At 39.2% G+C, this 16178-nt stretch overlaps 1 long non-coding RNA gene across 1 annotated transcript in view; it reads right to left on the reverse strand.

Annotated features, from left to right (window-relative positions):
* Positions 1 to 1412: 1412 nt before the first annotated feature.
* LINC02250 (long intergenic non-protein coding RNA 2250) overlaps positions 1413 to 16178 on the reverse strand; it is a 122536-nt gene continuing 107770 nt past the window's right edge. The window contains exon 5 of the long non-coding RNA NR_187215.1: positions 1413 to 1612. This is a non-coding gene — a long non-coding RNA (long intergenic non-protein coding RNA 2250). The remainder of the gene's footprint in view (positions 1613 to 16178) is intronic.

A 16178-nucleotide genomic window follows, 5' to 3' on the forward strand; every position in this document is an offset into this window, starting at 1 on the left:
CCAGTCAACAAGACATTCACTGAGAATTGTTGATATAGCACAAACACAGTTTCTCCAGCTCTCTTGTTGGAATAAACATGTGAGATCACTGGCGAGGAAGGGCCAGTATGGAGTGATGGATGAGCTTGACTTAATCCTCCCTTTTCCCTAGAGGAGACATTTACGAAAATAATTTCCCTACATTTCTTTATACTTTTGCCATCTAAGTTTGAATTGCTAAATACTATGGTTTAGTTTTTCTTGTTTTTTGAACATTATGTAAAAGGAGTCATACAGCATGTATTCTTTTGTGTCCACCTTCTTTCATCAAAATTGTTTTTGAGATGTATCCATGTTGTAGCATGGAGCTACAGTGAGTTTATTCTCATTGCTATATAATGCTAATATACTATAACGTATTCTTTCTACTGCTGATGGGCATTTCAGTTTTCTCCTATTTTTGAATATAATGAATAATGCTGCTGGAAAAATTCTTGAAATGAATATAAGCTGCTGCTTTCTGGATCATGAACAAAGGACTCTTCTGCCACAGAAATAGCTTCCTAGTACTCTAAGCTTCCTTATTACAGTTCAGTTTTATAACCTTTGATAGCGTTTGATTGGCCATATTCTTTCACTAGACAGTATGATTCATCAACACAAAATAATCCACACTTTCTATCGTAGTCCATTTTGTGTTGCTACAAATACCTGAGACTGGGTAATTTATAGAGAAAGGTCTATTTAACTCAAGGTTCTGCAGGCTGTATAGGAAGCAAGGCACTGACATCTGCTCAGCTTCTGGTGAGGGCTTTTGTGCTGTTTCAAACATGACAAAGGTCAAAGGGGAAGTGGGCACGTGTGAAGAGGGACTTTCCTTATTTTTCTATCAATACGTGTTTGCTAAGAGGGCATGTGATGAGGACTAGTGGGATTTAAGACTTTTTTTTAAATTTAAGATTATTGAAGTCATTTGGCCCCTTGCAAGAAGTACACTAGACTCATCCCTGCTTATTTATATTAATGGGGCCTAGGCATAGCATAAATCAATGGTATCAGTAATACATTAAAATCTTGTTTAAGTCATACAGTTTAAGTTTAGTCCTACTTTAGGAGTTCTCCAACTCCCTTAATAAGGCTGCTAAAGGGCAAAAATAACAGTAAGGACTAATGACAATTTTGAATTGTTAATATCTATATGACTCTCCTGGATAGTTTGTTAACATTCAGTTTCCCTGGCTCCACTTAGAGAGCTTGGATTAATAGGCTTGAAGTAGAGACCAGGAAACTGCATTTTTAATAAGCACCCAAAGGAGACTTTAATGCAGATATTCTTTGGACCACACTGTGGCAGAGCTATCAATAAACAATGGCGGGAAGGAGAAGCAAGGATTACAACTACAGTAGTGAAAAGAAAGACAAACATCTGTAGAAAGATTACAAGAAAACCAATTGTGGTTCTTCCTGGGGACAGGGATAAAGCTCTCTGACTGTGGGCAGTGATTGTAGTTTGTAGCATTCAGGGTCCTCCTCTCTGGGCATGTTCACCTCCCACTCTAGGGTTCAGGCAAGCTGGGGCTCTTACCTTCCACATAGCCCAGCAGATTCTCCAAAGCTTCAAAGGTTCATGCACCTACACAGAAATAAATCATTTGAAAGGGCTGTTTCAAAACTGAAAGTAACATGCTCGATTTTAGATTCTGTCCAACGCAAAAAATGTTAAGAGGACAAAAAAGGTAAATTAGGCCAATAAATATACTAAATGAGATAAGGAACAAAATTAGTAATATTAAGCAAGAACAATTAAAACACTAAAATGAACTAAGCAGAATAGTAGGTATCAAAAATAATACTTAAAGAATACTATCATTGGATGAGTAGCAGACTGGATGTGTTGGAGGATTGAATTAATGAATTAGAAGACAAATTGAAAAAATCTCTGCAAAGGGAAAAAACAAAAAAAATATTGTATACAAAGCCAAAAAGATATGGAGTGGAATAGAAGTGGTAGTACTCAGATAATAGGTGTCTCAGAAAGAAAATATAAATGGAGATAAAGAAGTAGTTGAAGAAATAATGGAGATAAGTTTTCCCAGATTAAATAAAGATGAAAGACTTCTGTTTCAAAGAACTCATAGAGAGTGTCCAAGAGGCGAGAGAAGGAAATCACAACCAGACTCTTTATAGTATGATTTAATAACAAAGGCAAAGAGAAATGTGAAGGCTTCAGAGACAAAATGAATCACAAGCCCAAGAATCACATCGATATCAGATCTCTTTTGCTATCAACTCGATGCAAAAGACAACAAAGTAGGATTTTCAACACATTGGTAACTTAGAATCTAGAATTTTATATCCAGACAAAATGTCATTCAAATTCAGAGATGTGATAAGATATTCTCAGGCATGGAAGGCCTCAGGAGGTTTGCCACACGGAGATCTGACTTGGGAATATTTAGGGGTGAAATATTTATATAAGTGGAGAGAAAAAATCCAGGAGATGCTGCAGGACATAGATGAAGGAACTGGGTTTTTCATTCTTTGGTAACATTTATTGCTTTCTCTAAAAAGTAAGATTAAATAAAAAGACAAAAATGTATTTATAATAACTCTGAATTTTAAACCGACATTACCAACATAAAGAGTGAGGAGTTGGAGTTATTTGAAAGTGTACTAAGATTCTTTCTTCACTGGGAGTGAAAGAGACATAGATGTCAATATCCCCCCTCCCCCGCAAAAAAAAGGAAGACAAATTAAATGATGGAAAAAGTGGGAGAGAACTGAAATAGTAAACTAAGATTGTAAAAATGGGTTTTGAGATTCCCTAAAAGCACACTGTAAGATGAGAATACTTGTATAAATGTTTTACTAAAGAAATGCTCCCAGGGGAAACTGGTAATGGAGTGGGTGAAACAGAACATGGACAGGAACAAAGCGAAGCAAGGCACAACCTCATGAACATGCAGTGGTGGCTTCGGGTGACCTGGAAGAGCAACTCTGGAGTGTGTGTTTATGGCTTCTATGTTCTCACCCCCATCATTCACTGATGAATTCTTCCTGGGTACCTCCAGAGGGTCTGGGGGACTAGGAGACTGAGACAGTTACTTTAAACAGTGGCAAGTGATAGCTGTAGGAAATAAAAAACTCCCTGACAGTGGGGGCTAAGCAAAAATGGCTGAAAAGGATCCACAAGAATCTGGGCAGATCCATTATCCACTAACCAGATCCAAATACATCAGTACTGTCAATATATGTAAATGAAGGAAACCTACAGTCAAAAAAACATGAACATGCAAAAGTTGAAACTATAAGGATGAAAGTATAAGGATGTCAAACACCAACCTTTTCTCATTATGTAGTGATCCCTTCCAACCCTATTAGTGCTTATGGTCTTAAGTCCTATTCTTTTTCGTATTATTAGATAGAAAAGGTCATTCAACACACCAAGTTGATACCTCTGTTTTAAACATGTGTGTACTTAACAAAATAGCTTCAAAATATTTTAAACTGGTGATTCAATAATACAGAATAACAAGGTAAACGGTTAAGTTGAAAGAAAAATTTCCAAAGCGTAATACGTATGAAACTATAAAAGAACAGATTACAATGTGTTTATAGCTGGGACTTCTCCTGGTACTCAAAGTATTAAATTCTGTTGTAAAGAGGTGAAATGTCTAGCTCCCAAATGATTAGATGTTAAATTTATTTCTTCATAATATGAAATTATTTTCAGTGTTGAACAAGACCAGGGAAGCCGTTCATAATATACTGAAAGCTTTAAAAACAACTGATAAAAACCACAAAACTCATTTTGTATAAAACTTAAAAACTACAAGGCCTCATTTTTGTAAATATAGTTAGAATATGCATGTAAATTAAAAACAAAAAATATTGACTAAATTATAGAAAATAAAATAATACACAACTTTATAACTTTTGAAAATATATAAAAATTATAACAAATGTTTTAAAAATAGACTATCATTATTAAAGAGATTGAAGCAATGGTTAACAATATTCACACAAAAAAATTAGGGTCAAATGGTTTTATAGCTTAGTTTTACAGGTGGCAAAGACATTATAAAAAAATTATCAGCTCACTTTACTCACTGATATAGATGCAATAATCCTAAATAAATACAAGCAACTCAAATCTAACAAAGGATACAAAAGGTAATATGCTATGACTAATTTGAGTTTATTTCAGCTATGTAAGGATGATTTAATATTAAATCTGTAAATATAGTTTACTGCACTAACATGAAAGGGGGAAAAAGCTGGGCATGATAGCGTGTACTTGTGGTCCCAACTACTCAGGAGGCTGAGGCAGGAGGATCACTTGAGCCCAGGAGTTGGAGGCTGGAGTGAGCTATAATCACACCACTGCACTTCAGCCTGGGTGATAGAGCAAAACTCCGTCTCTTTTTTTTTTTTAATTTTTTTTAATTTTATTATTATTATACTTTAAGTTTTAGGGTACATGTGCACAATGTGCAGGTTAGTTACATAGGTATACATGTGCCATGCTGGTGTGCTGCACCCATTAACTCGTCATTTAGCATTAGGTATATCTCTTAATGCTATCTGCTATCCCTCCCCCCTCCTCCCACCCCACAACAGTCCCCAGAGTGTGATGTTCCCCTTCCTGTGTCCATGTGTTCTCATTGTTCAATTCCCACCTATGAGTGAGAATATGTGGTGTTTGGTTTTTTGTTCTTGCGATAGTTTACTGAGAATGATGATTTCCAATTTCATCCATGTCCCTACAAAGGACATGAACTCATCATTTTTTATGGCTGCATAGTATTCCATGGTGTATATGTGCCACATTTTCTTAATCCAGTCTATCATTGTTGGACATTTGGGTTGGTTCCAAGTCTTTGCTATTGTGAATAGAGCCGCAATAAACATACGTGTGCATGTGTCTTTATAGCAGCATGATTTATAGTCCTTTGGGTATATACCCAGTAATGGGATGGCTGGGTCAAATGGTATTTCTAGTTCTAGATCCCTGAGGAATCACCACACTGACTTCCACAATGGTTGAACTAGTTTACAGTCCCACCAACAGTGTAAAAGTGTTCCTATTTCTCCACATCCTCTCCAGCACCTGTTGTTTCCTGACTTTTTAATGACTGCCACTCTAACTGGTGTGAGATGGTATCTCATTGTGGTTTTGATTTGCATTTCTCTGATGGCCAGTGATGGTGAGCATTTTTTCATGTGTTTTTTGGCTGCATTAATGTCTTCTTTTGAGAAGTGTCTGTTCATGTCCTTCACCCACTTTTTGATGGGGTTGTTTTTTTCTTGTAAATTTGTTTGAGTTCATTGTAGATTCTGGACATCAGCCCTTTGTCAGATGAGTAGGTTGCGAAAATTTTCTCCCATTTTGTAGGTTGCCTGTTCACTCTGATGGTAGTTTCTTTTGCTGTGCAGAAGCTCTTTAGTTTAATTAGATCCCATTTGTCAATTTTGTCTTTTGTTGCCATTGCTTTTGGTGTTTTAGACATGAAGTTCTTGCCCATGCCTATGTCCTGAATGGTAATGCCTAGATTTTCTTCTAGGGTGTTTATGGTTTCAGGTCTAACGTTTAAGTCTTTAATCCATCTTGAATTAATTTTTGTATAAGGTGTAAGGAAGGGATCCAGTTTCAGCTTTCTACATATGGCTAGTCAGTTTTCCCAGCACCATTTATTAAATAGGGAATCCTTTCCCCATTGCTTGTTTTTGTCAGGTTTGTCAAAGATTGGATATTTGTAGATATGCAGCGTTATTTCTGAGGGCTCTGTTCTGTTCCATTGATCTATATCTCTGTTTTGGAAACTCCATCTCTTAAAAAAATAAAAAGAGGAGAGGAGGAAGCCATATAACCATCTTAATCTATACCAGAAGAAGTATTATATTAAATTTAACATATATATGTATGTATTTATTTATTTAAAAGTAGCAAATTTCTTAACTTGATAGAATGTGTTTATTTAAAAATCTAAAAGGCAATATTCTGCATAGGGATATTAAAAGCATATCTTTATAATGACAAAAGAAATACGGGTATTCATTATAACCACTTCTAGTCAACATTGCCTTGGCAGCCTTACCAGTGCAACAAGACAAGAAAAAGTAATTACAAGTATAAGGACTGAGAGGAGGAAGTAAATTGTCATTAAAGTCATGCACCACATAATCACATAATAACTTTTTGGTCAATGATGCACTGCGTATAGAACTGTAGTCCCATAAGATTATAACGAAGCTGAAAAATCTGTATTGTCTAATTATGTCACAGCCATGGTAAAGTTGTAGCACAACATATTTCTCATGCGTTTGTGGTGATGCTGGTGTAAACAAACCTACCATGTTGCCAATCTTTTAAAATTATTGCATATACAGTGGTGTACAGATCATAACACTTGACAATAAATGACCATGTTACTGGGCTATGTACTTTCTGTACTATACTTTTAATTATTACTTTACAGTATACTCTTTCTACTTATAAAAACACGTTAACTGTAAAACAGTCTCAGGCAGGTCCTTCAGGAGGTATTCAGAAGAAGCCATTGTTAGCATAGGAGATGACAGCTCCCAGCATGTTATTGCCCCTGAAAACCTGCCAGTGTGACAAGATGCAGAGGTAGAAGAGAGTGCTATTGATGATCCTGACCCTGTTTGGGCCTAGGTTAACGTGTGTGTTTATGTCTTAGTTTTTAACAAAGAAGTTTAAAAAGTAAAAAAAAAAATTTTTAATTAAAGATAGAAAAAAGCTGATAGAATAAGGCAATAAATAAGTAAAATATTTTTGTACAGCAGTACAATGTGTTTGTGTTTTAAGCTAAGTATTATTACAAGAGGAAAACGTGTTTAATAATTTTAAAGTTTATAAAGTAAAAAAGTTACAGTAAGCTAAGATTTATTATTGAAGAAAGAAAAATACCTTAGAGATAAATTTAGTGTAGCCAAAGTATGCAGTGTTTATAAAGTTTACAATAGTATACAGTAACATCCTACACCTTCACATGCACTCACCACTCAGTCACCCAAGAGCAGCTTCCAGTCCTACAAGCTCCATTCATGTGAGTGCTCTATACAGGTGTAGCATTTTAAAAATCTTTTATACTGTATTTTTACTGTACCTTTTCTATGTTTAGAGGTATTTAGATACACAATTACTATTGTGTTACAGTTGCTTACAGTATTCAGTACAGTAACATGATGTACATGTTTGTAGCCTAGCAGCAATAGGCTACACCATATAGCCTGGGTGTGTAGTAGACTCTACCACCTAGGTTTGTGTAAGCACACTCTATGATGTTCACACAACAACAAAATCACCTAACAATGCGTTTCTCAGAAAGCATCCCCATTGTTACATGATGCATGACTGATATTTGCAGATGGTGTGGTCATTTACATAATCAGTCTAAAATAATCATTATTTGAAATAATAAGATTAATATACAAATGTTAGCTGCATTTCTATACACCAGCAGCAAACAACTAGAAAATGTAAAGAAAAAATACTCTTTATAATAGCATCAGAGAACTTTAAGTATCTAGTAATAAATACTTATTTTGTAAGTCACTGAAAATTTGAGGTTGTTTGTTATACAGCAAACCTGATTAGCTCTACAAGGAAAATGTTAAAGCTCTATTATGAGATATTAAACAAGGCTCAAGTAAATAGATAGCTCATCTGGCCTTGAATAGGAATTTTAATAGAATAATATCTCAGTTCTTTCCAAATTGATCTATAAATTGAAAATAATTCCAATCAAAACCTCAACAGTGTTTTTCATAGCATGTGATAATCCTAGATGGAAGAGTTAAGGGCTGAAATAGTTAAAATATTTCGTCAGGAAAGGACACTTCCCTTGCTGGTTGTCAGGATTTACTATGAAACTAGAGTAATTGAGACAGTAGTGGTATTAGTTCACCGATCAATGGAAATACGTAGGGAGCCCAGAAATAGATTCCCATATGTTTGGCACTGGGGATAAGAAAAAGGTGGCATATTATCAGTAGAGAAAGGAGCTGAAAGATGGAACTGAAAACAATGCTTCTCCAAGTGGAAGAAGTTGGAGGTGTATCCCAACCTCACCTAATTACAAAATAAACTTCATTTAAGTTAAAGACTTTCAAAAACAAAACTTTGAAACCCATACAAAAAATATAGGTCAGTATTTTAAAACTTGGAGAAGTAACTTAAACAAAACATAGAATTGTTGACTATAAAATGAAGTATTGATAATGTGGGCTAAAGTAAAATAAAGAACTTTATTCATCAAAATACCCCTTAAAGGACCTGAAAGTTAAGAAATAAATTGGGAGATAGTTGCCATGTACATGATCAATAAATAATTGGTATTAAATAGCTCCTACATATCAATGAGGAAAACACAACTCAAGGGAAAACATAGACAACATGAAAATACTGTTAAGAAGAGAAGCACATGAGAGCAGTAAATATGTGACATTAAATACGTGAATATTATTATGAGAAAAATGCAAAATGAGGTCTCACTGAAATACCATTTTACCCAAAAGCAGGCCAGGAATACTAAGGAATTAACACTCTCCAGCAACATCCCTCAACCTGTGATTTGTTGGAGTTAGTGCAAAAATAAATCCACTGCCCCACTCTTTGGATAGAATAATTCTGAGACAAGTGTTTGCACCATTTCTCAGTGCTTTCCATGGGATCTTCAGCCCTCATTCATCCACTGGGATAGCTGGAATAATTGAATACCCTTTATTAGCTGTAGTTCCTGTCCTGTATCCCCTCTCCACTTCTCTATTGGCGTTATTACTTCCCAAATGGGCTATTTTCATTTAAATCCTTGTCTCAGGTTTCCTCAGAAAGCCCAAATAAAGACTGTATTTTTTGCATAAGAATATGTTGAGATGTGATGAAAAATATTAAATGGAATAGTTGGGAATGATGCACAGGGAATTCAGATTGCTGGTTACCTTCCATGGGGTGTTGGATGGCAGATCTGGATGAGAGGGGTTCAGATGGATATATGTGTGATCTTTGTAAAGGTTCTGGCTTTTGTTCAGATGATGAGTTTGTAGGTGAGTGTTATTAAAAATAGCCAACTAATATATCAATATATGTAAATTTTGTCATTAACTCAGCTCTGTGGCCTCAGGTCCTTCAGAATAGGAGAAAAGAGAATGAGACGGGGAGAGAGAGAGAGAGAATAACAAAGCAAGGAAAGGAGAAAGAAAGGGAGGGAGGGAAGGAGGAAGAGAGAAATTATGAGGCCATGTTAGGATATTAGTGAGCTCTAGGAAGAATATTGTCAAGAAAAAGTGGATTGACTCTAAGCAATAAGTGGAACGAGGAAAATGTTGGAAATTATTGGAAGTCTTTTCTCAACAAGAAAAAAGATAAGACAATGAAAAATTTCAGGAACATAAAAACTGTAGAAGATCATACTACAATTATGAATTCATCTAAAATGGAGCATACCTGGGGCAACTGATAGAATGTAAGATATTTGAATCTATTTTCCTGATGTTAGAATAGTTCTCTGTTTTGAGAGGCACAAGATTTATGACATTGTCCCTTCAAAGATTGAAATGTAATTATAGTACATACTTCATTCTACTATGAAACATACTTGCATACTAATTCCCCAGTCATCTTCACTTTCTTACCATCAGAACTCCAACATTAATTATGGCCATGTTGTGCCAAATTTTAAAAAAACATTTCCCAGCCTCCCTTGCAACTAGGGGTAGCCACATGATATGGTTTCAACCAATAAGATATAAGTGGAAGTTGCTGGGTGGAATTTGATCTTTTACCTTCTTGAGTTACTATTCCATCTTCTTTTTTCCTGTCTTTCAGTAACAGACTCGAGCTCAAGATTAGACACTAGCCTAATCTTTGGTTCTCTGCCAAATACCTGTTCTTAATCTTTTAGTTTTCTGCCACTTTTCTGAGAATGCTTTCCCAAAGCTTGCTAGTAACATCTTAATAGGCAAGCCCTAATTACACTCTCTCAGTCTTGATCTTCTTAGAACTTGGTCCATCCTGTAATACTCTTAAAAGCTTCTCATTTTTCAGGCAGCATCTCAGCTCCTCAAGTACTTTGATTCTGTGCTGATCCTGTGTTAACCACAGAGATCCTCCTTGGTCCCTAGTGTCTTTTGTCACTCTGAAATTTAAACAGTCACTGTGGTTTGCTGTTAGATTTCTTTCTTTCTTCTTTTGTCAGTTGTCTCTGCTATGGGGATTGCATTTTTTTTTCAAGGCTGTGGCAATTACGTTGATGAAGATCATTTCCCAGCCTTTAGCTTTCCTCTAGTCTCTCCCCCACGTGCCAGGCCTGTATTTCCAGATGTGTGCTCCATAGAGCCACTACCTCTACTAAAAATGTCTAAACTGAGACATATCGTTTTTTAAATTCCCTAATCAGGTTCTCCTTGTGATGGAGATGTTTTGATCAACAAATTGTTTTAAACTCTCAGCAGCAGGGGTTTATCATGTGCCAGGGACAGTGCCAAGAGCTTTACATTTTTGATTCTCACAGCAGCTCTGTCAGGTGCATAGCATTGTTAGCCCCATTTTACAGATGAAGAAACTGAGACCTAAAGAAGTGAGGCCTGATTTTTCCAACATCACACAATTTTTACTGGCTGAGACTGGTCCCCTGATGCCTAAGTCAAATGGTCTCCCTTTCCATAATAACACTTCTGACATCCTCCTAGTTTAAAAATCTCGATTCTACATTGAATCAGTTGCCAGATTCTGTCAGTTCTCTCTCCCAGACTTCCCATTTCCCCTTCTTATTGCCTAACCAAAGAAAACCCACTGTCAGCTTGTTGTGTGCAGGGTCATTGTCTCTTGTGTTCCAAGCCTTTTTGCACCCTCCACAAGTACAGTTCCTCTCCCTTCAAGTCATGTGGACAGGAGAAAATCCAAGCATCCATGAAATGGCCCCAGCGTACTCTTTCACTCTTCGTTTTGGCTTTTTTCAACCTGTCTTGGGCTGTAGCCAAATGACCACTTGCTCTGGAGGGATTCCTCACTGACCCACCTGAGGATTTGTGCTTGTCCTTAGACTGTAACAACCTACCCAGCCTCCTAGGCGCCTAGCCAAAATTCTCTCTGGCTCAGAGCCCAGACCTCTCCAATGCCTTGCATGCCTTGATGGGACCTTGTTGCAGTTTTCCTTTGACTTTGTGCCCCAGGTTCAGTACCTGGGTTCTTGCCATGTTCTGGTGACTAATTCCCATCTTCTAACCCACTTCAGGAACTGGGGCACAGCTACTCTTGGCAGTTCTCTCAGAGCCTGAAATTCTCTGCCAGCACCACAGGTTAGCAGCTGAAACTGCTACCTTGTGCACCTGCCTGAGCAGCTGCATAAATGCCTGCTCCAAGCTTCACCATGACCCTGTTTGCCTGCCTTCCAGAACGGATCTTGACCTCCACATGTGGACAACTGCTAGGAATGTGGCCCCTGCTTCACGTGTGACCCTCCAGACCTGGAACCTTGTCCTCAATCATCCAAATCCAGGCCACTTTACAGTCTGTGTCCCAGGGGTTCCCAAAGTGTGGTCTGCAGGGTGTTACTAGGCACTGGGTGTGGGGTGATTAAATAAATGTAGGCGACATTTAGTTATATATAGGTAGTTTTCTTAAGATGTGACTTTGTAGAGCTTTTAACATGTTTTCATGTATTACAGTTCTCCAAGTTCAGAACTGTAATTAAGTGCTGTTCCCATGCTTATTTCAAAATGAGACCATGTTTTTCACTGAACAGCTCTAGGGATACTGGAAGCACTGGCCACAAGTAGAGTTGGCATATAAAATTTCCAGGTCCAATTCCTCTCTGGCGAGGCCTAGCCCATTAAGCAGCATCTACTGTGATAAGGAACTGTGGTAGGCGCCACACATAAGCACATATGCTTGGTCCCCAAAGAGCTCATAGTTCAATGGTAGAGGAATATGTTCATAGGTAAGTGGTAGTAGTTACTTGACTGAGAGTGGATAAAGGTCATTTTGGGACGGTAAGGAGTAAATAGTTCTGCAGGAGTATTTGGGGAGTTTTCACAAGAAAGGGATATTTAATTTAGATCTTGAAGGATGATCCAGAAATTCTGCTGTATGCAAAGCATGTGCAAGATCCAGAATCACACAGTGCTGGGTGTATCTGGGGAGTGCTTGGGTTCTGCGGGTCAGAGATGCAGGATGTGTGAGGGCAAAGTGTGGGCATGAGGCTGGAGCATAGGCTGGGGCCAACAGAAAAAGGCCTTAAAAATAAAGAAGTTAGACTTTGGAGTGCCCGGATGGAGTTTTGAGAAAGTTTTTAGCACAGTGGTTATGGCAGTGGTGTGGCATGTGGAGCGGACTCTGCTGGCCCAAGTTCTTCTTTTGGTGCAGATGCAGGCTCAGCTCAGGAAGGCTGACCTGAGGCAAACTTCCCTTAGCTGGTTATTCATCTGTTATCCTGGACCACATTCTCTCCCAGAGGATGATACTTTTTCATGGTGGAGGATGGTATTGGCCTTTTTTTTCCCCTTGGTGCCTTACACAGTGACTCATGTCAAGTACGTGCATAACAAATACTGCCTTTTAGAATAAATAAGCGAAGTGTTAAATAAGTCTGTACAGACTACAGGTGCCACAGTTTTGAGGAGAAGGCCCTCTTTGGGAGCTTGAGTACAGATTGTAGGAAGGTAGGCACTTGGGAGAAGATCTGACTTGTCATTGAAGTGTAGTTGCAATTGGGATATGGATGAAGAAAGGACAACTCATCCTAGGTAAAGGGGGTAGCCCCTGCAAGTGCCAGAACAGGGCATGGTCAGGATTTAGAGGACAGAGAAGCTCAAGGAGCTGGGCAGGTGATGCAAGGGTGCTGTCCACACGCTGAGGACAGAGACTTATGGCTCAGGGAGCCGCCAGGGAGCACGACTTGGCCCTGCCTTGCTGGTTGCCTCAAATGACAGCTCTCCAAACACTTGAAGGGCTAGAAGTGGGACTAGCATGGGAAAAACATGAAACCAAAATGCTAGGGGAAGGCTGGAGAAGGATACAGCTATCCAAATTGAAGTGAAAAGCAGAGCCTTAGTATTGAAAGCAGGGAAGAGCTCAGCAGAGGACAGGGCAGGAATGAAAGATGAGACTTAGATGAGCAGCAAGGCTGACTTAAGGAGAAACTGCTGAGTGGTCACTGAGGACTCTTTTTCTCAGAGGCACAGTTCCCAGAGCTGAATGGAGAGTTTCATACACGTATGAGCTATGCAGTCCACATCAGATACTAAGTACAAAGTGAAATGATGGCTGATCAGTGGTGAGGTGGCTGGGCTGATGGAACAGAGGTGCATCCTGCAAAGCAGGAAAGATATAAGGTTCAGTCATTGGATCAGATTGGGGTGGGCTTGGTCTAAGCAGAGGAATATACAGTTAAACAGTGGAATTAAGAAGCCCTGACTTGGCCGGGGGCGGTGGCTCACGCCTGTAATCCCAGCACTTTGAGAGGCCGACGCAAGCGTATCACCTGAGGTCAAGAGATAGAGACCATCCTGGCCAACACAGTGAAACCCTGTCTCTAATAAAAATACAAAAATTAGCTGGGCGTGGTGGCGCGTGCCTGTAGTCCCAGCTGTTCGGGAGGCTGAGGCGGGAGAATTGCTTGAACCCAGAAGGGGGAGGTTGCAGTGAGCAGAGATCGCGCCACTGCTTTCCAGCCTGCCGACAGAGTGAGACTCTGTCTGGAGAAAGAAAAAAAAAAGAAGCCCTGACTTTTGATAAAGCAGGGGTATGAGGAAAGCAGAAGCACTCATTGCAGGTTCAAAGGAGAGCCTGGAGTCAGCCATTTGGGGAATGTTACTGGAGCAAAGCGAAGTGGTTCTGAATCAGGTAAGGAGCTATGCAGTTGGAGAGAAGAAATGCAGAGAGCATTTTGACAGAACTGCCAGTATGGGTGACTGACGGGACAGCTGGACAAAAAGGAGAGAGTCAGAGATCATGTCAAAAGTTTTGAGAGCATGAGGCCGCCATCTTGGCGGGCCCTGGCCGGCCAGCACACAGATCACGTCCTCAGGCTCTGTGTTTCCTCCGGCTCTGTGTTTGCGCAGCCTCGTGGAAATGGTAGCCAGTGAGCTTGTGTGATTATGAACTGTGAATTATTATTTTCGGACTGCCTGAGGGAGGTGGGAGCATCTGTGATAAGATCGTGAGCTCAGGCAGGAGAGGAGTGCTGTGCAGGTGGCCCCTGGCATGTGTGTGGACATGTTTCCCGATGGAGAATTGGGAGGAAGAAAATGATTAGAGTGTTAGTGCCAGAAGGCAAGTATAATATGGTCTAAATGTTGTATCCAATCCTAAATACCCCAATAGGAAGAAAAAAGAAATCAAGCATGTCATTTTTATAATGTAAAATTTGAGGGTAGTGCCAATGGAAAAGGCCTTGAAAACACCCATAAAGCTCAAAGGATTGTCCAAATTATTTTTTTTGTGCTCAAATTCTATTGTATCAAATATTACTTGAGAAAGTTTAGATTGACAGCTAAGTCTCAGGGATGTTTTGTATTATGTGGAGTTTCACTTGAATTGGATTTGACCATTGTGTATAATCAAATCTGAATCCCCAGCATATATTTTAGGGAATAGTAAGTGAGGTCATTGCATTTGGCATGTTACTGAAAGCAGTGCCCAGGGAATAAATCCTGACATCAACCAGCTAGCTAAGAACATGACACATTTCCTTGATCTTCTGCCAAGGAACACTGCCAACAACTGACACAGAGAGCAGGAGAGAATGCGGGGTGTCTAATGTCCCTTCCACCCTTACAAATAATCCCCAAATAATTCCATTAGACCCAATGTGGAGAAGACAGGACCAGCCTACAGGAAGGGTGTGTCTGTGGGCACATTCTCTGAGCTGTTACTTCTGGCCTGGCCATGGTGTCTTTTATTGGTGGATTATACTTTTTCCTGTTGGAGAAGAAACAACAGCAAACAGGGCCACTGAAGAATATTTTTTTTTGGATATGGAGTCTTGCTCTGTCACCCAGGCTGGAGTACAGTGGTGCGATCTCGGCTCACTGCAAGCTCCACCTCCTGGGTTCACGCCATTCTCCCACCTCAGCCTCCCGAGTAGCTGGGACTACAGGTGCCCACCACCATGCCTGGCTAATTTGTTTGTATTTTTAGTAGAGATGGGGTTTCACCGTGTTAGCCAGGATGGTCTCGATCTCCTGACCTCGTGATCCATGCGCTTCGGCCTCCCAAAGTGCTAGGGATTACAGGTGTGAGCCACTGCACCCAGCCAAAGAATTTTAAAATAAGAGGTGAAGAGGTTAGAGATGTATTAAGAACACCATACTAAAATCTGTAATGGAGCTGCAAGAAACAGAAAACCATTCTTCAGTTTTCTGTTGATTGAATGATATAGTGTCCCATGACTTGCAAAGGTCAGGGTCAGCACAGAGTATATGTTGTTGTCTAAATCAACGACTATGTCAAATAATGCTTGGAACTGATAGATCCAGAGAAGAGAACCAGCCTAGGCCATAAGGTTGCTCTGGAATGCATCATTGCCTCAAGAGGGACATTCTAGTAACAGGCTTGGCAGAGTCAGTCCTGCCTGAGAACCTCACCATAAAAAGTCACACCTGTCAATGTCAGCCTCTGTAGAACAGAGCCATTGGGGTTCTCTTTCACTAGAATCCATTTGAAAGTCATCCTGGTCTTTGTCCTTGAGTCAGCAGAAGTGTCTATTAGAGCATGTTTGAAGAAGGTATTGATTTAATTAAATAATCTTTTTTCAGAATCTCAAAGAGAACAGTTAGCTAAGTTTAATGTCTACCTGAGTACACAAAAACTTCACCAACATACACCTTCTTATATTTCTGAAAAGAACTGTGCAGGATGTGACTTGAACAGGTGATAGTGGGCAGAACGGGAAGTCGGAAAGGCGTGCTTCCAGAAAATAAAAAAGGCTTCGGAACAAACTTCTTTGTCTTCAGTGAGGACTATTGGGAAAATTTGAGGTTAGAAAGGGTAGATTTATGTGGGGATGTGCTTGGATTGCCATGTGGTGATGGTTAGTTATGCTATTTTTTATATGCTTGTTTCTAGAAAAATAGATTTTTGAACCCTAAGTGCAAAAAATGCCATAAGACTTAAGGCAATCATCCAACTTAGGGATGAACTCTGCATATGTCACAAATAATTATAGTTTATA

This window comes from Homo sapiens, chromosome 15 (assembly GCF_000001405.40).
Source record: "Homo sapiens chromosome 15, GRCh38.p14 Primary Assembly".
Taxonomy (NCBI): domain Eukaryota; kingdom Metazoa; phylum Chordata; class Mammalia; order Primates; family Hominidae; genus Homo; species Homo sapiens.